At 40.4% G+C, this 15,296-nt stretch overlaps 1 long non-coding RNA gene and 1 pseudogene across 2 annotated transcripts; both read right to left on the reverse strand.

The window, feature by feature from the left end:
- Positions 1-221: 221 nt before the first annotated feature.
- LOC105378935 (uncharacterized) lies at positions 222-7,283 on the reverse strand. 2 transcript variants are annotated; one of them, XR_947755.2, is made up of 3 exons: positions 7,163-7,283; positions 2,626-2,783; positions 222-896 (listed from the first exon to the last, which is right to left on the reverse strand). It is a non-coding gene; the product is annotated as an uncharacterized LOC105378935 (long non-coding RNA). The 2 variants fall into 2 exon arrangements; XR_007066504.1 differs by lacking the exon at positions 222-896 and having other exon boundaries at positions 2,204-2,783.
- On the reverse strand, positions 12,964-14,084 carry GAPDHP58 (glyceraldehyde 3 phosphate dehydrogenase pseudogene 58; annotated as a pseudogene).

A 15,296-nucleotide genomic window follows, 5' to 3' on the forward strand; every position in this document is an offset into this window, starting at 1 on the left:
GGAGTGTCTTCAGTGAGTAAAAAGAATGCATGGAACTGCTTCCAAAGAATCCCTGGTTTCCAGGAACTGGAGTCTGTCATTCCTTTTACTTAGATCAAACATTCTTCAAATATATGTGTGAGAATGCCAACATGAACACCACACGTACACTGACACCTTTTTCAATCTTCTTAAACACAGGGCAACTTGGCATATAAAACACCTTACCGCCCACCTCACTGGCTTCCAAAGCTGAGCATTCCCGACTGCTGGAATGAGGCAGGGCACTGGCTGGATTCAGAGAGCATTGTGAACAGTGGCCTGAATCTCAGGGGAGCAGCTGGAAATTGAAACCCATTGGAATGTGCTTTGGGTTAGTGGAGATGACCTTGAAAACCAGAAAACTGCAATCTGCATGGCACTTGTGGCTGTGATAGGGAGACAGAGGGGCAAGCACTAAGCAATTCGTGCCGGAGGCTGGCCAGGTGTGCTCCTCCCCTCCCACCAGGGGCAGAGAGGATGGAAATTATGTGAATGCCAAGGGCAGCTGAGAAAAGGAGTCATGCCTGGGGTTTGCTTTGTTAAGTGTTAAGTGAGCTGAGTTGGGGGAATGAAGATCTGAGAGAACGGGAAGAAGGCAGACTATGAGTAGTGAAGACGATGGTGAGGGCCAGCAGCAGCCTTCCACACCTATTCCATTGTTATCTGATGGACAGCCAAGACAGGACTTTTCCTGGCTCTTACTTATTATATTGTCTTCACTATTTGGAGCAGTTGTGTGAAAGGCAGGCCTACCAGGAGCAGACAAAGCCTGTTGCATCTTGCACTGCCCTTTGTCTCCATACGCCGTGGCAGAGGGAAGCATTTGATCCTTCTGTGTTATACTTACTGTAATCCCCCAAAAAGAAACGGGATCCCTGTAAGAGTTAAAGAAAGAGGGTAGTAACATGAAATGTGGCTCAACAGTCAAAGACAGATGTATTTTAGAGAAATAAACCAGAGAGGGTCTTCTGGCCAATTTCAGTCAGAAGCATTCTCTCTTACAGACTAAGCATATATATATATTAGTTTTAGGGTGAAGGAGCTTATCACAAGGTTGGAATGTTTCTGTGTGGGGGAGAAGTTTATGGCAGGGTTGGAATGTCTTTGGGTGGAGGGGAGGTTATCTTGGGGCTGATGTCTTTCTGGCTGGAGAGGAGGTTATCTCGGGGCTGGCATGTCTCTCATTGGGGAGGGGTTTGGAATGTTTCTGGTAAGAGATGTTGACGGGATGTTGCTGACTTTAGCCATTAGGCTGATGCCCTTTGGATTTAGGCAGTTTCTGATCAAGGTGAATTTTAAAATGACAGTGCTTGTCCAAGATGGCAATGCTCCTGCTCTGTCAATCCTGACCCTACAGTTATAAAAAGGATGAGGGGCGACGTGTTCTTTCTGGCTACCTCCTGCTGATGAGGACACAGAGAGTTTTCTGGTCTCAGATTGACTGTAGGAGCAATGCCTTGTGTGGATGTTTTTCGGTAGTTGTTTGTGAAATGGCCCTGATCCTTTCAGTTAAAAATCTTTGAAAAAGGTTAATTAGGCAGGGTAAAAACATTAGTCTTAGGCATATTATTAGGAGAGGGCCCAGGCATGGGATGGTCCATGCTATGATTTTGTTCCCAAACCAAAGACCTATTTGGTTGTTTTGGTATTCCAGCTTTTTCTTTTCTTTTCTGTTTTACCTGTTTACCAGGCCCAACTGGTTGAGATAGAAACATTCCTCACCTAATGAGAGGCAGAGGCACATGTTTGGGAAGGCCCATGTGTTATTTCCTGTTGGTAACCATTATTCCTGCTATGAAGATAATAATTAAGCAAAATGTTATGGTAATTGAGTTTCTCTGATATTTACCTGAAGGGTGCTACAGTATATAGTCCTATTGCAAATAGTAGAGTGAGTAAAGCAATTCCCACAAGGGTGGCATAGTAATAATTACCATTTAAAAGTTTTAATATTTGGCTTAAAAGGAGAGGTAAGAATGACAAAAAGTATTTGGTGAGGTAGGGGTGAGACTGAGTAAGATGAGTAATTGTTACTTGGTTACTTATTTTTTTATGATTTTTGGCTTAAGATTTCCTATTTCTTTATTTCCTCATGTGAGGGTCGGGGTCCTAGAGGCAGTGCCTGCTGAAACATCTGGTTTTCAGTTTATAGGGTTTAAGAAAGCACAGATTATTTTGGAAATTTGTAGTCAGAAAAGTTAGAATTTAATTTAAACAGTAGAAAATAATAAGAATTGAAAAATGTTAGGCAACACTAGAATTTAACAACAGGTATGCTACAGTTTTTGAAACATAATTTTCTCTCTTCAGTTTCCCATTTTTATTAAAAGACAAATCATGGTAGGACTGGTTTGCTTTATTGTACTTGGCTTAATTATTTGCATACAGCGCAGCAAGAATAATGATTTGTTACATAGGCCTCTTAAACTGGCTTTGACAGAACTTTGTTCCATAGAAGGAATATGAGATAAGACCTTTTTAAAGCCAAGCGCAGCCATGGATTTGTACCATCAAATAACTATGAGTTTGGTGAATTCCTCTCCTCTTGAGGTTCCAAATAAGTTGGGCCTCCCGGCCTGTCAGAAAGTGACCTTCATTACTTACCACAGATCAGAAACCCTGTACAGGGACTGTGTACACAAAATACGAGGCCAGTTTCCCAAGGGCTTTATTGGCTTCATAAGTCCAGTTTGATTCCTTGAAGGAAGGCACACCATTCCAGTCAAAGCCTTGGTGAAATAACCAGTTTCTCCAATTGTGTCCTGTTACAAAAGAAAACAGATTCTTACTGCACTTATGCAAACAACTATATTGCCATAACTTAAGAATACTCACAGTTTCCAAATTCTGGAGAAAATCAGGTAGAGAGAAACAAGTATACTCCAAATTTTGTTAGTGCTTTATAACTGACTATAAAACCACCTTCTAAAGAGGACCTAAAGAAGACAACAATTGTTTATGGATGACACAAAGTTTTAGGGTAGCCATAGTTAAAGGCATAATTGATAAGGATATCTGTTACCTCTGTGGCACACAATAATTTTAACATAACAATTATAATTATTACTGATAACATACACTGAGATATATCAGAATTATAGGAGTCTCCCGTAACTTTGGAGCACATACCAATAACGTATTTATACAAATATAGCCCAAAGAAAGCCAAACACCATTTTATATTTTACAATGCTTCCTGTATGATTTTATACCAAATAAGCTAAATTTTACCTTTATATTAGTGTGCTATTAATGTTAAACTCAATTGTTAATAAAACCTTGTAGACGCATTTACCCAATTTTAATATAAGATTTTTATAGACTCTTTTTAACACTTTATAATTTTTGTTAAAGAGCAGGTTAGTGTTTTAAGAGAAATCCATTGTGCTTTTATTTTAATGCTCAATTTGCAGGAAAACTAGATGATACCTCTTCAACTTTAGCCAATATGTTTACACACAGAATTTCCTGTACAATTAACCTTCCAAAATTTTCTTAAACCTCCAAAAAATTTTTTAACCTTTTAATCTAGGTAAAAATCCACACTCTCATGCCTCCTTATAATCTTTTTGTCAAAAGTATTTGCAAACTGTTTTTTCAATAGTATTACACGCATGTTACACTGTTAACTTTTAGCAACCTTTACTTTTGTTGGTAAGTTTGGGATTTTAATTATGTACTAGATGTAGAGTCTAGGACCGAGACAGAAATGCAGTTAAGGTCTAGCTTATTCCAGCATTTAACTCCATGTGTCCTAGGTTTTACCTAGCTACAAATCAGGCAATTTGTATGGCTAAGAGTTATAGTGACATTTCATGAAGTATTCAGGAGGTCTACTCACTTTTAAATTGTTCAACATTTCTTACACAAATTCCCTTTATAAAACTTTTCACGACCTTCACAGACAATCTCAGACATGCCTCGACTTTCTGAATTGTTGTAAACATTTCTTTCTTTAAACAACCAGTTAATTTACTTTAGGACAAGAATTTACCATATAAGATTCATTTTTATATAAATTCTCTTTTCTTTAATATTAAAGATGATAACAGTCCTTTCCCCAAACAAACTTCCTTCATGGCTGTGGACAAGACTGCCTAAGGCCATAAAATTAGAAGTTAGGGCATTTTACTAAATAGTTCAAGATGTGGCTGTCTTCATTAAACCAATATTAATGTTTCACTTATTAAAAAATTACACAAGCAAAGATTATTCTGTTTGGGCTGAGTTATAGTTTTGTAACATCTATGTCAAATTTTGACACCTTGTAATACTTGGCAGAAATAAGTATGAAATTGCTTGATCAATTAATGCAAACAAAAATGTATGCTGGCAACTCTTAAGACATTTCTAATCTTACTGTACCAGCAAGTTTTAAAGATTAAAGTCACATGAACTGAAAGGTCCCACAGCTTTTACTTTTCCCTTAAAAATATTTAAGTGCTTATTTTTCTTAGGTCAATTAATTAGAGCTCTTTTAATAGACACTGCACGCATAACACATATATAGCCACACAGACAACCAGAAGTAGATTCAGTAGTTATAAGATTTTTTTTTGCTAATTTCCCAATTGGATTATTGGCCTTTGGGTGAGGCTCTTTAAGAACAGGGCTAGGAAAACAGTTTCCAGGGCCTAATAAACAAGCATAGCTGCAAAGACAGATTTTGAGAGGTACTTATTCACCTTTAATTCCAGGGGTTCCATAAGGAAAACAGAAATTTTTCCCAAAATGGGATTTGTGGAACCTTTTGTGTTTTCCCAAGGAGTCCCAGGCCATCAGAAGTCATTTTAGGGTTTTTCATACATGCACCAGGAGTGGCAAGAGGGAGTGGAGAAAAGTAATTCAGTTAACTGAGAAAAAACCTTTTCCAGGAAAATAAGATATAAGAAGAAAAAAACATAAAGGCCTTTTGAATATACTCATAGCTTGAATATCCATTTTAATTAAGCTCAGCACTCTTTTTTACTGGGTTATGTGCAGGAACTCCCTGCGCTAATGAGAGGGATTTTTAGAGAAAGATCGCAGACACTGCTTGATGTGTGACAAATCACACATGGAAAAAGGGAGATGAACGCGAGCAATGCCTTCAGCCCCAGCCACTTCCCAGAGAGGGAGAATAGCAGAGGTGGTTTTTGAACATGTAACAGGTGGAGAAGGAGGAAGAGCAGGGTTTGGGGCTGAAGGCTTGGGGACAGGAGGGGCCACCAAGGCAGAGGGTTTGAACAGGCAAGTAGCAGATGTAGGTGGATGAGAATACAGACAGGTTCATCTGCAGGGTAAAAAGGGGTTTCAGAGGAAGAAGAGACCGGGGAGGGTTTTTATTAAGAAGAAAGATTTCATGAGGGGTGCAAGCTTGACACAGGGAGGGTTGGGATCTAAGTAGAAGCAGAAGAAAGCCTGAATATAGAGAACCTCTTGCCGTTTGACATTCCTGGTTATAAAGTTGTCAAGGTTCCTGAGAATTTGGAAGTTAAAGGTGCCATTTTCAGGCCATCTGCTGTCATTATGTAATTTCTATTGGGGCCAGGCCATGTTGCAATAAAAAACTCAATACGTAAGCCAAGTTTGTCGAGATTATGAAGGAGACAGCACAGTGGAGAGGGCATATGAATGTGGGATTGTTTGGCACCCATGTGGACTGGTGAGAAAAAGCCGAGGGTGTCTGTTTTTTTCTAGGTGTCCCCAGACAAAAGACAGAGACCTGAAATACTCTTTCTAAAGAGGACAGTCAAGCTGAGAAAAAACTTGGTGTTCCCAAGATTTCCTCTAGCTTAGTCCCACTGGTCCTCCAAGGACCGGGATGGCCGACCTGACTTTCCTGGGTACCATGAGAAAACCAGGGGAGGGCAAATTTTACCAGTCAGCTGGATTAGTGTCTGATGCTGGATGTTCCAGTTGGAATTGGCAAAGGGCCTCTTAGGCTGGAGCTGCACAAGGAAGGAAGAAAGAGAGAGAGAGGAGAGAGAGAGAGGTTGAGGGAGGAAGAGGGAAGAGAGTGAAATACACATTGCCAGTGGTTGGAGGTGGATTCCCAAGACTGAGGGTTTTGATTACTCTAGGGAGTAGCCCTTGCCAGAGCCTCACAGTTCCCTTCAGGTTACTTGTCCTCCTCATGCAAATTGCTCAAAAAAGTGAAATAGGAGAGAAGATGGGGCAGGTGGCCAGAGACCCTCAGAATCCAGGAGTTAGCTCAGGATGAGCTGCCATTGCCCACTGTTTCCTGGGTTGCAAGAGAGCTCTACCCTCAGCACTCATCCCAGGTTTTGGCACCAAATATAAGAGTTAAAGAGGAAAGAAACACAAAATGTGGCTCAACAGTCAAAGACAGATTTATTTTAGAAAAATAAACCTGAGAGGGGCTTTTGGCCAATTTCAGTCAGGAGCATTCTCTCTTACAGACTAAGAGTATATATTGGTATTAGGGTGAGGGGGCTTATCACAAGCTAGGAATATTTCTGTGTAGGGGAGAAGTTTATGGCAGGGTTGGAATGTCTTTGGGCTGGAGGGAAGGTTATCTTGGGGCTGACGTCTTTCTGACCAGACAGGAGATTATTTCAGGGCTGGCATGTCTCTTGTTGGGAAGGGGTTTGGAATGTTTCTGGTAAGAGATGTTGACAGGATGTTGCTGACCTTAGCCATTAGGCTGATCTGCTTTGGATTTAGTCAGTTTCTGATCAAGGTGAATTTTAAAATGACAGTGCTTGGCCAAGATGGCAAGTTCCTGCTCTGTCAGTCCCTAATTGGTCCTACGGAGTTCTCAACCCTGTTTGCCTATTAAAATCACCTGGGGAGTTTCTACAAAATACAGGTACTTAGACCTCACTCCAATTAATCGCTCTTTACATTGAAAAGACAAACAAACAATAAAGCTCTTCAAGGTTAAGAAAATCTATAGCTTAAAATAATCAAACCTCAAAAATTCCAAGTTGACCCAGTACAGTTTCTCTTACTGGAATGTGGGCAGAGGCCAACTCAAAAGCAAAGTTAGAGATAGCTGGGCATGAAGACTCATGTTCATAGTCCCAGCACTCTGGGAGGCTGAGGCAGGAGGATCACTTGAGTCTAGGAATTTGAGATCACTCTAGGCAACATAGGGAGACCCTGTCTCTACAAAATTAAAAATGTGTTAAAAGCCTACCTGGGCATGGTGGTGCACGCCTGTGGTTCCAGCCACTCCCAAGGCTGAAGTAGTAGAATCACTTGGCCTGGGGAGTTGAGGATCATGCCACTGCACTCCAGTACTCTGGGTAACATAGCAAGTCCCTGTCTCAAAATAACAAAAAACAAGTAAAAAAGTAAGTTAAAAAAAAAAGAAAGAATATCTAAATGAATAGCCTCAGCACTGGCTTTTCCCATTCTGTGGCTGTTTACCACATTCTGTTCTCCATACAACAGCCTGAGACATGTTTTTAAGTAAATTCAAATCCTATGTCCCACCTATTTAAAACCTTTCTGTGGCTTCCCATTCCATTAACTATACACTCTAAACTGATCTCCAGCTCTCCTGGGCACTGCATGATCTGCTCATCCTTCCAACTCACTTCCTCATCACTCTCCCTTTTACTCACGATGCCTCAGCCAGACTGGCCTCTCTTCCCTTCCATAAATATGCAATACTTTCTTGCCTCTAGATCTTCACATTTATCATTCCCTTTATATGAAATGGTGTTCCTCATCTTCTCATGGTTGGCTGTCTGTTGACATGTAGATCTCAGCTGAACTGTCACTGCCCTGATGAAGTGAGATGTCCCTGATCATCCTCTCCTGAATACGCTCTGCTTCACTCATCACATCACACTGTTTCTCCCCTCTTAACTGTTAAAACAATATGCAACTAACTTCTCAGTTGTAGATTTTATTGTTTATCTGTATCTGCATAGGGACCTTAGACAGTCTTGCTCCCTGCTACATTCCCAAGAGCCTAGAATCATGTCCAATGTCATAGAGGGCCTTCTAAATATTTATTAAGTAAATTAATCCAGGAAGGCAAAGCCAGATCAAAATACATCATCACATCTGGAGAATTATAGCAGTTAGAGGAGGAAAACTGTAAGTTAGGATGGAACTCAGCAGAATGGGTCACTACCTAAGCCAACAGACCTGAAAAGTCTTCTATCATTCCTCAACTGGACACTTTCCTGCATGAACCCATGCCACAGTAAAGGTCCACTTTTGCCCAGATTAACCCACAGAGTCAAGGGCTGGGTCAAGGGAACATTAGCATGGAAAATGTCAAAAGAGAAAGCAGTCCCACAGCAGTCTCCCTGGTAATAACTTGGAAGGCCTATTTGCTTAACCCAAATACATGTATAGGGTGTCCACCACCCACATATTTAGAAAGGGAAAATGAAGTAAAGTCATACAGCCTGCTTGCCTATAACTGAAATTCAGAAACCATAATTAAAAAGAAGTGAACACCCAAACCTTCAAATGAGTAGTCTGTTTAAAAAACAAATTCATAAAGTGTATGACTCAAAGCAGTTTCTTTGATTCTTCTCAGAACAAAAGATCTTAACAGAGCAGATCAGAAATGACTGAAACAGCCAGTGGATTCTAATTTTTTGCACATCCTTTATACCTCTAGGAGATTATTATGGAACATTGCACTCTGGACAGAAGAGCTATACCTATAAAATATTCCCCAACAGAAATCATACTCTATCTATCTATTAAACAGTACAGCACAGAAAACCCAGATTAAAGGGGAAAAAAAGCAGGTGTCATTAGAATACTTGGAAGAATAGTGGATACTTGGGGAATTGTGGTCATTGAAAAGGGTTCTCAGAAGGCCACATTAGATGTCATTGTTAATGAGTTGGTAAAAACAAAAGGAAAATTGACCATGATCCCAGTGTTAGGCCTTAACTTTATATTCAGGTCTCAAATTGGCTGCTGCATTGGTGGGCTGATAATTTGAGGCCAAGGAGAGGTCTTTGATATGGCAGCAAGGATGGAGTGCCCATGCTGAAAGTTTAGGGACATATTAAGAAAGCACATGTCTAGAGGCAACTGTCTGGCTGACACAGCAGTCACAGTTGCGTTGTGGGACAGGATACCTAGATGACCATGGGCCTTGAAGATGACCTTCAAGACCCTGATTTCTGTTACTTGTGACTTGTAAAAAATGGAAGCATCATGGTTTAGTCTGTTTGTGCTAGTATAATAAAATATATTTGATCAGATAATTTACACATAAGAGAATGTTATTTCTCATGTTCCAGAGGCTGGAAAGTCCATGATCAAGGTATCAGTATGTTCCATGTCTGGTGAGAGCCCAGTGTCTCTTTCCAAGATGGGTTCTTGTTGCTGCATCCTCAGCAGGAGATGGACAATGTGTTTTCATGAGGCAGAAGAATGGAAGGGGCCACCTACTTCCCTCAAGTTCTTTTATAAGGTCACTAATCCCATTCATGAGGGCCCTGTCCTCATACATTAACCTCTTTCTAAAGTCCTCAGCTCTAAATACTAATGCATTGGCAGTTAAGTTTCAACACATGAATTTGGAGGGAACATATTCAGACCATATAATTTCACAAGATCAAGAAGAAATATGGGACAAGGGTGATCTTGGTATAGCCTAACTCACGCACTGCTGCAATGAACTTTGGCCATTATTTTTACTTTATGTCACAGAGCCAAGGCCAGAGACAAGAAGGAACGGGGAGAAAAAAAATACCCTAAAATATTCATTCTCATGACCTAGGATGTTACAGGATTTTATGGCCCATTGGCTAATGGCTATTCTGTGCAATGCACTGACCTCCAAGAAAAGTAGTAGAAAGAGAGTTTTCAGATAAGAGATTCAGGAACTGTCAAAACAAATTAAAATTGACTAGTCCTGTTCTTCCACAGTAAATGAGAAAGGAGATATGTTTATTCTGGTCATATTGGATAGCTTTAGTAGACAGATGAAGGCTTTCTCAATAAAGTACAAAAGAGCTAAACTAATGGCACAGATTTAAGTCTAAGAAATCTTCTCTTACCCTGGGGTCCCCACGAACATGACCTCAGACAGTGGGCAGACTCATGAGAGAGCTGTCTCACCAGCCACGTCTCATGGCATATGACAAAACCTAGCAGATTTTGCTCTCCTCTGGCCTGTTCCCCAGCCTTCACACCCCAGCCATCTATCAGGAATCAGCCTCATGAACAGTTGGACTTTGTGCCCTTTCTAGATCTTTACTCTTTGGAAGTTCACTTCTAGATCATTGAACTCTTTGTCAGATACCACTTTTCTCAGCCTCCTTTCATTTGTATTAAGTTCATAACTGTGGTTTCATGATTCTCCTCACATCAGAAAAAGATAAGAACATCTCAACTAAATTGTTCTTTGTGGTTAAGAATATAAATAAATAAAGCCTTGAAGATAAGACTTGAAATCAGAGAAAAGGTAAGTAGCATAACGTCCACCCCTCCAAATAGCCAATCACAGTCCTGTAAATCAATTTTATTTCATGCTTTCCTGCTGGCTGCTAATCACTTTGCAAAAATTCCCAAAGTGCTTTTTTTTTTTTTTTTTTTTTACAGGCACTTCAGTGCAGGCATAATGGCCTGCATAAGGTCATCTCTTTGATCCTGAAATCACCAGCTGAGTACTTGTGGGAGACATTACAGATTGGTTTGGGCTAAGAGTGAAACAAATCACATGAGCATATGGTATTAAAGCAATGTGGTATACACACAATGATGTTAACTTACTTTATAAAAGAATATAGTAGAAGCTGTCTTTGAATACAGCTATCTGGTGATAACATTGCTCCCAGATACACATGTATGTAATTTTTTAAGTTGTCTCTGGGCTTAGAGGTCTAGATCCAAAATTACAAGGGAAATAAGCAAGAATATTATCAAGATAATATCAAAAGGCTGTTCTCCATTGCTCAGAAACATGAAAAAAGGAATGCCCACAGTAAACTGAAGGGTACATATGAAATCTCAGAACGAATCTCTTAACTTCTAAAAATGTGTTACATTTGGAATGCAATCTGATATAGGTATTCACAAGACCTGAGCAGACACCTCGCCAAAGAAGATATACAGCTTAAAAAAAAGCATATGAAAAGATACTAAACATCATATGTCATTAGAGAATTGCAAACTAAAATGAAAATGTGATACCACTGCACACCTATTAGAATGGTGAAAATCCACAACACTGACAACACCAAGTGCTAGCAAGAATGTGGAGCATCAGGAATGCTCACCCATTGCTGGTGGGGATGCAAAATGGTACAGATACTTTGTAAGGCAGTTTGGCAGTTTCTCATAAAACTGAACGTATCCTTACCATATGATCCAGCAATCACGCTCCATTGCATTTACACAAATAAATAGTAAACTTATGTCTACACAAATACCTACTTTTAGGTTTGATCTTTAAAGTAGTTTTATCCATGATTATCAAAACTTGGAAGCAGCCAAATTGTCCTTCAGTAGGAGAATATACAAATAAACGGTGGTACATCCAGACAATGGTATGTTATTCAGTGCCAAAAAATAGCTATCAAGCCATAAATAACATGGAGGAAACTTAAATGTATATTATTAAATGCAAGAAGCTAATATGAACAGGCTACATGCAGTGTGTTTCCAACTATATGACATTCTGGAAAAGGCAAAACCGTGGAGACAGTAAAAAGACCAATGGCTGTCAGAGTGAGGGTGCACAGAGGAATGAATAGGCAAAGCACAGACGATTTTTAGGGCAGAGGACACTAAAATGGTGGTGACATGTCATTACACATTTGTCAAAACTCAGAGAATGTGCAAGAAAAGAGTAAACTTTGGACTTTGAGTGATAAAGATGTATCAATGCAGGTCAACTCATTGTAACAAATGTACCATTCTGGTAGAGCGTGTTGATAGTGGGGGAGGCTATGTATGTGTTGGGGTGGGAGTATACGAGAACTCTCTGCATTTTCCCTCAGTTTTGTTGTGAAGCTAAAACTATTACAGAAAATAAAGTCCATTTTAAAAGTTAAATGAGATAATATATGTAAAGAACCTGATACATTGTAAAGGACTCAATTAATATATTAAAGCTCATATGTAGAGCTTTCTATGTGCAAGGAGATATCCCATATGACCTCTTGGTCTGATCTTAACTGATTATCCTTTAAAATAAATTTCTGGAGTGGACTTGCTGGGTCAAGTGTGTGAAAGTTTACAATATTTTGTCAGATACTCATTAGAAATTTGTGTCAACTTACACTTCCATAAATAACATGCTTGTCTCCCCACGTCTTCACCAACACTTAGTAACTTCAGGTATTCTAATATTTGCTAAACTACTTGTGGCTTTCAAACTGGGTTCAATGAAGGGATAATGTTCTTTGTAATGCAAAAGAAATCCCCAAGGAAAGAAGGCAGCTTGTTGGAAATATGACAGTCTATCTCTTCTTTTTCCTTAAACATTGGGGTTCCAAGAGCTCTTGAATTGGCATAAAGCTCTGTTTTCATCTGAAGATTCCACTGGAGAAAGGTCTACTTTCAAGTTCACTTATATAGTTGTTGGAAGATTCAGTTCTTCTAAGGTTATTAAACTGAGAGCCTCAGTTTCCCCTTGACTGTTGGCTGCTCTCAGTTCCTTACTATATTGTCCTCTCCACCAGGGCAACTTGCTTCATCAAAGCCAAAGAGAAAGAGCAACCGTAAAAGCAAGTTGAAAGTCACAATCCCTACTAACCTAATCATGATAGTGGCATTCCATCATTTTTGTTATATTATACTAGTTAAAAGCAAGTTACTAGGTTCAACCCACACACAAGGGTACAAATATCAGGAGGTTGAGATCACTGGAGTCACCTTAGAGGCTGGCTACCATAACATTACTGTTAGCCTCTGGAACTCTTGGTTGAATGGCATCTATTTGACCTCTCCTCCAAGATAATTGGTAGACAGAGTAATAAGTAGGCGATGGAAAAGAGATTTTGCTAAAGCCTCTCTTTTCCTCTCATACTATCGCTGGGGCTGGTGGTCCAGAGGTCTTATTCTTTGAAGGCCATGTGGGCAATGAGGTTCACCACCCTGTTGTTGTAGTCAAATTCATTGTCATACCAGGAAATGAGCTTGATAAAGTGGTCATTGAGGGCAATGCCAGTCCCAGCATCGAAGGTGGAAAAGTGCATGATGCTGATAAAGTTGGAGGAGACAACCTGGTGCTCATTGTAGCCCAGGATGCCCTTGAGGGAGCCTTCCAATTCTGCTTCACCACCTTCTTGATGTCATCATATTTGGCAGGTATTTTCTGATGGCAGGTCAGATTCATGACCAACACATTAGTGGTGGGGACACGGAAGGCCATGCCATTGAGCTTCCTGTTCAGCTGAGGGATGACTTTGCCCTTAGGCTTGGCAGTGACAGCAGATGTAGTGATGATGTTCTGGAGAACCCCATGTCCATTATGCCAGTTTCCTGAAGGAGCTATCCACAGTTTTCTGGGTGGCAGTGATGGCATGGACTATGGTCATGAGTCTTCCCATAACAACAAAGTTGTCATGGATGACCTTGGCCAGGAGTGCTAAGCAGTTGGTGATACAGGATGTATTGCTGATGATCTTGAGGCTGTTGTCATAGTTCTGATGCTTCACACCCATCACAAACGTGGGGATGTCAGCAGCGGGGGCAGAGATGATGACCCTTGTGGCTCACCCCTGAAAGTGAGCCCCAGCCTTCTCCATGGTGGTGAAGACACCAGTGGACTCCATGGTGTACTCAGTGCCAGCATTACCATATTTGATTTTGGTGAGATCTAGCTCCTAGAAGATGGTGATGGAATTTCCATTGATGACAAGCTTCCCGTTCTCAGCCTTGGGAGTGCCATGGAATTTGCCATGGGTGGAATTATACTGGAACATGTAGGGCATGAAGTTAAGGTCAATGAAGGGGTCATTGATGGCCACAATATCCACTTTACCAGAGTTCAGAGCAGCCCTTGTGACCAGGAGCCTAAATATGGCCAAATCCATTGACTCCAGGCTTCACCTTCACCATGGTGTCTCAGGGATGCAGCTGGCGCTGCATGAGATGTGACTATCTGTTGAACGGGAAAAGCAGAAAGCTACAGCGTATTATTTAACCCATAATTATCATATTGAGTTATTCTTTGTTAACTCTGATGCCAATAGGTGGTGACTCAGATGGGCATCACTTGACATAGCAGGCTAACATCCCCTGAGCATGTGGACAATTCAGTTGTCTCAGTATCACTTGTTTAAAAGACTATCCTTTTCCCTCATTGAATTTACTTTTGTCAAAATCAATTGGCCATATGATTTTGGCCATTAACTCACACATAAGCAAATATTCTCTCAAAATGGGTTATAGGCCTAAATTTCAGGCGTAAACCATACACTTCTTCGAAGAAAACATAAATTAACATGTTCATGACCTTAAATAAAGAAAAAAATCTTTTTCTGCTAAACAAAAAAAGTTAAAAAAATGAGACATGATCAAAACTAAAAACATTTGCTCTTTAAAAGACATCAATAAGAAAATGAAAAGACAAGCCACAGAATGAGAAAAAATATCAAAACGTATATTTGGTAAAGGACTTCTATCCAGAATATAAAATACAATTACAACTAAAGAACACAAGGATAAATGACTCAATTTTAAAATCAGCACAATATTTGAATAGTCACTTAACCAAAAATGTGTAACAATGGCCAATAAAGTACACGAAAAGACAGTCAGCATCACCAGTCAGCAGGGAAATGAAAATCAAAACTACAATGTGACACCACTTCTTACCCACTAGAATGCTATAACAAAACAGAAGGACAAAAACAATTGGAAGAGGGGTGGAGCCAAGATGACTGAATAGGAACAGCTCCAGTCTACAGCTCCCAGCGTGGGTGATGCAGAAGATGGGTGATTTCTGCATTTCCATCTGAGGTACAGGGTTCATCTCACTAGGGAGTGCCAGACAGTGGCAGCAGGACAGTGGGTGCAGCACACCGTGCGTGAGCCGAAGCAGGGAGAGGCATTGCCTCACTCAGGAAGCGCACAAGGGGTCAGGGAGTTCCCTTTCCTAGTCAAAGAAAGGGGTGACAGACAGCACCTGGAAAATCGGGTCACTCCCACCCTAACTAATACTGTGCTTTTCCAATGGGCTTAAAAAATGGCACACCAGGAGATTATATCCTGCACATGGCTTAGAGGGTCCTAAACCCACAGAGTCTCGCTGATTGCTAGCACAGCAGTCTGAGATCAAACTGCAAGGTGGCAGCGAGGCTGGGGGAGGGGCGCCTGCCATTGCCCAGGCTTGATTA

The sequence above is a fragment of the Homo sapiens genome, chromosome 1, assembly GCF_000001405.40.
Source record: "Homo sapiens chromosome 1, GRCh38.p14 Primary Assembly".
NCBI classification, from domain to species: Eukaryota; Metazoa; Chordata; class Mammalia; order Primates; family Hominidae; genus Homo; species Homo sapiens.